The sequence below is a fragment of the Homo sapiens genome, chromosome 1 (assembly GCF_000001405.40).
Source record: "Homo sapiens chromosome 1, GRCh38.p14 Primary Assembly".
Taxonomy (NCBI): domain Eukaryota; kingdom Metazoa; phylum Chordata; class Mammalia; order Primates; family Hominidae; genus Homo; species Homo sapiens.
The window spans coordinates 96,418,305-96,425,321 of NC_000001.11; the positions used below are offsets into that span (position 1 = coordinate 96,418,305).

At 33.5% G+C, this 7,017-nt stretch overlaps 1 pseudogene; it reads left to right on the forward strand.

Moving 5' to 3' along the window:
* UBE2WP1 (ubiquitin conjugating enzyme E2 W pseudogene 1) lies at window positions 285-609 on the forward strand (annotated as a pseudogene).

Sequence of the window (7,017 nt, forward strand, 5' to 3'; positions counted from 1 at the left end):
CCTTGTCTCTACTAAAGATACAAAAAATTAGCCGGGCGTGGTGGTGTGTGCCTGTAGTCCCAGCTACTCGGGAGGCTGAGGCAGGAGAATCGTTTGAACCTGGGAGGCAGAGGTTGCAATGAATCATGCCATTGCACTCCAGCCTAGGCAACAGGGTGAGACTCCGTCTCAAAAAAAAAGGCAGTATAATTTTCTTTTCAGACCAATATCTTTTATTTCTAGACTGAGGTATGTTACGCCAAAGTGTTGCGTTTCTGTTGTTGGTGAAGAATTATTTCAGTCTCAATGACTACAGAAATAATTGTTGGCTTTGCAAAATGACCCACCTCCTGGGATGACTTTAAATGAAAAGACTGTTCAAAATTCAATTACACAGTCATGTTTACCAGTGAAAATATTCCTGTTCATCCTCATGATTATAGCAATGGTCATACCTGTTTATCCATTCTAACAGAAGACTGGTTCCCAGCGCTCTCCGTCCAATCAGTTTGTCTTAGCATTATTAGCATGCTTTCCAGCTGCAAAGAAAAGAGACGACCACCAGATAATTCTTTTTATGTGCGAACACGTAACAAGAATCCAAAGAAAACAAAATGGTGGTATCATGAAGACGCTTGTTGATGCCACTGTTATGATCCTCCTACAGAAGATAGTCCTATTGAGAAAATGAGCACTTTGATCATTCAGTCTTTGACTGGAAGTGACCTATAGGCAATGAAGACTACATCCTTTTACTGCATTTTTACTTGTGTGCATTCTGGGCACATTTTGATCGCTGATTCAGTCCAGGCAACTGACATGCTTTTATTAGTCATACAGTATTAATCCAGGTGTCAGGGAATGTCAAATATAATTCCATTTTTATTTTTATTTTTTAAGCTTTTGGAAAAGCTCCAGGTCCTCACGTATTGTGCAATAACAATGACTTCCTTGGCGGTTTTGGTACGTTTATTGCCGGCAATGGACGTTGTAACAGGAACAATTTTCATTAACTCCTGCCACTCAAGGATTAATGCATGATAGGGCCTATGAAATGAACTTATCAGTTACAGTGGGAATATAAATAAAGTGAGGGATCCAACATTACTCTAAAAGCCTCCCCAACTGTTTATATTTGGATTCTGTGCACTGTGATCCTAAGGTTAACAGCATGAATAATCATGCATCTTTAAAGGACTGTAATGAAAGATCACTGCTTATTTATTTAATAGTTTATATCTGCTGTCAAGTTGACATGGAAGATTTTCAAGTAACACTGGCAGAGAGGTACACTATGTTATCCCTATGGTGAAAATAAATTCATTTGTTGTATATAGTTCCTCAATCTCTGAAGTAAAGGTATGAGTAATATAGGGTATGAATGGTTTAATCAAGGCTTTATTTTGGAAGTAAGAAAAATGGCAGTGATGATAAATTAGTGCAGTCCATAATTTGGCCTTGTTATTTGTACATTAAAGATTTTTTTCCAAGTAGGTTACACTTTGTTAACTTCCTGCTAGCCGTCAGCATGAGCCCTACTGCCTAAACACTATTTCATTTATTTATGTTTGGAAAATGCATAAACATTTTTGTTTGCAATCTTGTTTCTTTTGTTATAAGTCAAGTTTGAATGTTAAAATACTTTTATTGAAAAACTTTTGTTAAGTTTTGTCTTGTAAACTTTCTTTACTTGTAAGTATCATCTTATCCTTTAATCCTGTACCCAAAAATAAGAAATACATTTTTGACAGAGGCTTAATGTTTTAATGAAAGAGTGTGGACATTTTTATTTTAAAATTTAGGCAAAAATCGCTATCAAATGGTATGTTTGCTTATTTGTCTCACACAGCCATATAGGTTTTCCTGGAGTGTTTTGTTTTGTTGTTGTTGAAAAGACTTTGCTTACAGCTAGATAAAATTTGCTATAGAAAAAAAACTGTTGAAAGGTCCGATTCTCAGTACCATGTGAGTTAATAATACTACAACTAAGTTCTTTTTAAAAAGTGATTCATGTATTTTTGTAAATTACCTTTTCACATATGCAAAATCTGTTCCTACTACAATGTTATTTTTACTCATGCCTTATTGTTGCACTCTTTTTGAAATACCCTGCAGTGAATTTATGAATCAATTTGGGCTTAAAACTAAAAGCCAGCTGGCTGAAACATTTGAAATATGTACCCCAGTAAAACCATTCAATCAATAATTGGTAAATAATACTTTAAAATTGTTTTTAATCTGTATAGATGACATTTTGTAGCTTTGTATGTGTTGTTAATTAAGGGCATATAATTTTACACTCTAAAAGTATAATTGCTGAACTCATGGGTGGGTAGACTTCAAAAATATGTCTGCTATAGAAATAACTTGAAAAAAAATAAAGCCGTGGCCAACCACCAAATTGTGGACACTGTTTATATACTGCTAGTTAACAATTGCCACTTTTAAAAAATTATAACATTTTTGCTCTATCTTGACTAGATATACATAAATTCTCACAGTATCTCTGTCAGTTTTATTAGCTGGCCTGTTTAACCAAGACAGAAAGTCTTTGAATTTCTCATAGTTTTAAAATGCTTTTAATATGAAAAATTGCAGCTGCAAATTATGTATTTTCATATTTTACATAACTGCTCTACACTACTGTTTGACCTGATCTTTTTCCGGGGGTTAGAGAGAAATCTCTCTCCATATTGCTGGTCCTCTTACCGAAATGCTTTTATAAAGAAATGACTGGTGACATTTATTCACCAAAGGAATTAATGTACTGGGTCAAAGATTAACAATGCTATACTATACAGTAATTGAGTTTTTTATAACAATATTTTAACATACCTCTCTCTCTACATACAAATACCATGAAGTAAACTAAATGAAACAAAGGAATGTAGGGGAAAATGAAATAATTTTGGTACATCTTATGGCTTAAAGAGAAGAAAGTAAGATGAAATATCCTAAAATATAGGAGCACAAACATTCAAAATTCATAATCAGATTAACAGCACTCTCTTGAATCTGGGAATCATTAAAAACTCCCTGCACTTAGATTTAATTTATATGTAAGTTACATTATTAAAAGTCATAAGGCATTTATCTGAGTCATTGCTCTACAGAGGGCAATTAATGAATGGCTTGTAATAATAAAAAGAATACTTCGGCTGGGCACGGTGGCTCACGCCGAGGCAGGTGGATCACTTGAGGTTGGGAGTTCAAGACCAGCCTGACCAACATGGAGAAACCCCATCTCTACTAAAAATACAAAATTACCCGGGTACGATGGTGCATGCCTGTATCCCCAGCTACTCAGGAGGCTGAGGCAGGAGAATCGCTTGAACCCCGGAGGCAGAGGTTGAAGTGAGCTGAGATTGCGCCATTGCACTCCAGCCTGGGCAACAAGAGCGAAACTCCGTCTCAAAAAAAAAAAAAAAGAAAAAAGAATATTTCTCTGTAATGTATAAGGTATTGTTGAAAGACAACTAGAATATCAAGAAAATGTATATAGGAATATGCTGCTTGCCTCCTCCTTCCCTCGTGGGGCACTGTTTGCTACATAGACCTACAGAATTAGACTTTCATACTTAGAAGATAATGTATACTCTTCTTTTTTATTTATTTATTTTTAGGTCATTCTTCTGGTTTGCCAAATTCTATTAAGATGGTGATACATTCACTTCCTTATTTATGCATGCTTAGATCATTGAAAATCGTGGCCTTCTGATTTTTTTTTTTTTTTGGTCAAGTAGGGATTAATGCCATAAGTTTTAAAGAGAAGGATTGTTTTCAGTTTTTAAGATAATTTTTAAAAAATACATTTTATGGTTGTTCTCTTAAGGAATTAATATTCACTTCTGAAGGACTTACTTGTAATATGTAATATGTAATTTATCATTTTAGCCAGCAGGGAAATAAAGCATTTTTAATCCCCAGAAGAAAGCGCTGGAAATAGCTTTTATATAGTCAACAGTTCACCTGGAGAAAGATCTTAATCCTTGTTGTTTAGACTAGGAATATCAATATTTGGTATAAAGTAACTAGAGTAGTTTATTACTTTTTCCCTTATGAAATTTTAAATATATGCAAATATATATATCATTAGACTCCTGTGGTGGATAATTTCTTCAGATTCTAAAACAGGTGTCTAGTGACTGCTTAATTATTTCCAAATCACATCAAAGATGAATTGGTAAATAATGGGTATGAGTAGTGATATGAAAATGGTTACGTAACTACCTATTACTTGTGTCTGGTAATCAAGTCTTATTTTTTAAAAGACTATTGTTTTTGAGAATTGAGATATTTAAAACTCATTATAACTTATTCCTAAAAATAGAAGAGAAGAGGAGGTACTGTGTATTCAAAAAATTTTTTAAATAAAGAATTCAGTGTCACAAAAAAAAGAATTAACCAGTCTTTATTTAAATTGCTTTGTTTCACATAAAGAATATATGATCATTGTAAAGAGGAAATAAAATGACATAGAAGTATGTGAAGTAAAAAGCCAATCTCTATCAATTCTTCCTACCCACTCACCAAGCGTAAGCACTTTTAATGTTGATGTGTATCCTTTCAACCACTTCTATGCATGTGTAAACACGATTTATAATGCTTAGCGAAAAATGAGATGATACAACATATGTTGTCCTATAACTTCCTTTATTTATACAACATATATCATGAACAATCTTTCATTTCAATATATTTATATAAATCATGTTCTTCTTATTGGCTGCTAAATGCATATGCATACTTTACTAAGCTACTTCTCTATTGAAAGGCATTTAGGTGGTCTCCAACATTTTTGGCTAAAACATAAACTGCATTGGTCATTTTTGAACTTTTTCCCTTGACCATTTGTGTGCAGTTAAGATTTATGGAATAATAGGCTATGTATTTGTAAACTTTAAGTATTACAGACAAATTTCTCCCCAAAATAAAATAGAACTTAACACCTTATAAAATTTGGCTTTTTCCAAGCTGATGTTCGAGATAAATTTATCTAACTCACGCTTGATGGATATTGAAATGCAGCATGAAACAAAAATATAAGTAAAAACACACACATTAACTCAATGGCTTATATTTTTCTACCATGCCATACTAAAATATTCTGTATCTGTCTGAATCTAAGAATAATTCATATCAATATTTTGAGAGACTGAACAATGTTCACAATACTTTGGAAAATGAAAAGAAGCAAATCAAAGAGTATATTCAGTTTTGAACCTACCTATCTATTACTAGCAGGATAAATTCAGCTATATTGCATAATAAATTAGCCTGGAAATTCCACTGGTCTAACATAATGATTAATTTTTTACTTATACTCTATGTATGTTTCAGGTTATCAACGATCTTTGTTCTACATAGTCCCTTGGGGACTCAAGATGACAGAGCCTCATCTTTTAGTTGCATATTCTAGAACACATGGTTTCCTCAGTCACTATGGCAGGAGAAGAGTGACTAGAGAACTATGCGTGGACATATTTGGTTCTATACTGTCACTACAAAATAAGCTCACATTTTCTTTAGTTAAAAAATTGTAACTCTGAAGCCTTCTGGCCAGGGGCTGTTGTCTTTAGCAGTACTACCTCCATGCCAGTGGTGGATCATCAGTATTTCTGATATTAATGCTGAAACTCTGCACTGTGCAAAAATGGAAACTGAATTGGCCATCTTCTTTGGCTGGTCCTATTCTTGTCTCTTGCTACCACCATTACTGACCTCAGTCAATTGACCTAGGCCTGTAGTCATTTCTCTAGAAATGAGGTAATATACGCCCTCTCTCAAAATCACATTCAGAAAGGTTTTTTATAGCAACCTAGTTATTGTCATCCTTTAGAAATAAAGCACTTTCAGTTTAATTCACAGGGTGACTTGGCTAGCAGAGGGTTCCAGCCACATTCCCTTCCAGAGTTCTATGATCTACAGATAAGCCTACAAACCACCCCATCCATTATGGTGAGTTCTCTATTAGGGCTATTACCCTGTTTCTGCCTCTAACATTAATTAGTCTGGCAGACAACCTCAAAGGAAAAATTAGAAGCTATATACCTGTCCTTTTCCCTGAATACTAATAGATGGCCTCCCTCCATCCTACATCCTCCAAAGACCAAGTGGTTAAATGTATTGTTGTTAATATAAAAAAAAAAAAACCCTTCTTATTTTTTTCTCTCATTAACACTGGTTTCTGCACATGTCCAGAAGCTGACCACTATTACTATGAATGGAAATCTTTAGACTAGACAGTATTTCATAAGCATCTCATTGTATGCAAACAGAGACAGAATACTATAATATTTTAGGTCAAGAAATATGAAATTTCAAAAATTAAATAAGTAAAAATAAAAAATAAGAAATTAATAAAAATCTTGATTGATTAGTTTTAAATAACCATATGAATTATTTTTTATTTTTAATATCTCTTCAATTTTATGTTTAAAAATTGCACACCTGGCTGGTCTCAGATTTTATTGTTCCTCATATGTCCTGTTACAATATATTGGGTAACTTGTTTTTTTAAAAGCTTTCCTAAATTGTTCAATACATTTCAAAGTCAGAAGTGAGCATAAAATTCATAACCAGATTTGGTCAAATAATCTATGGTTGTGTAGAGACTTATTGCTATTTAAACAAAGGGAAAAAATGGAAACTCTTTAAAGAGCAAACAGTAGGTTAAAATAAGTGTGGCTTTTCTCCCAGTAAGAAATTTCTGAAAATTCCTGTTGTTGGCCAGGTTGTGCTGCAGATGTTCCGACTTACCACAGAGATTTCTTAAGACAGATGCCAAAAATTTGGTATGAAAATAAAAGTGAGATTTACACTCAAACAGCCCAAGGATTCCTCATCATCCAGGATTCTGTGTGGTTGTATTATTTCATTACTCACATCTCCTGAAAATTTATTCAAAAACAATTCTTAGAAGATAGTAGATGTCTCATTCAGTGCTTGCCATTAAATTACTAAAAAAAAAAACAAAAACAAAAACAAAAAATTGTGAGTGCTGCCTTCAAGAAGCTCACACTTGTTTAGAAACAACCA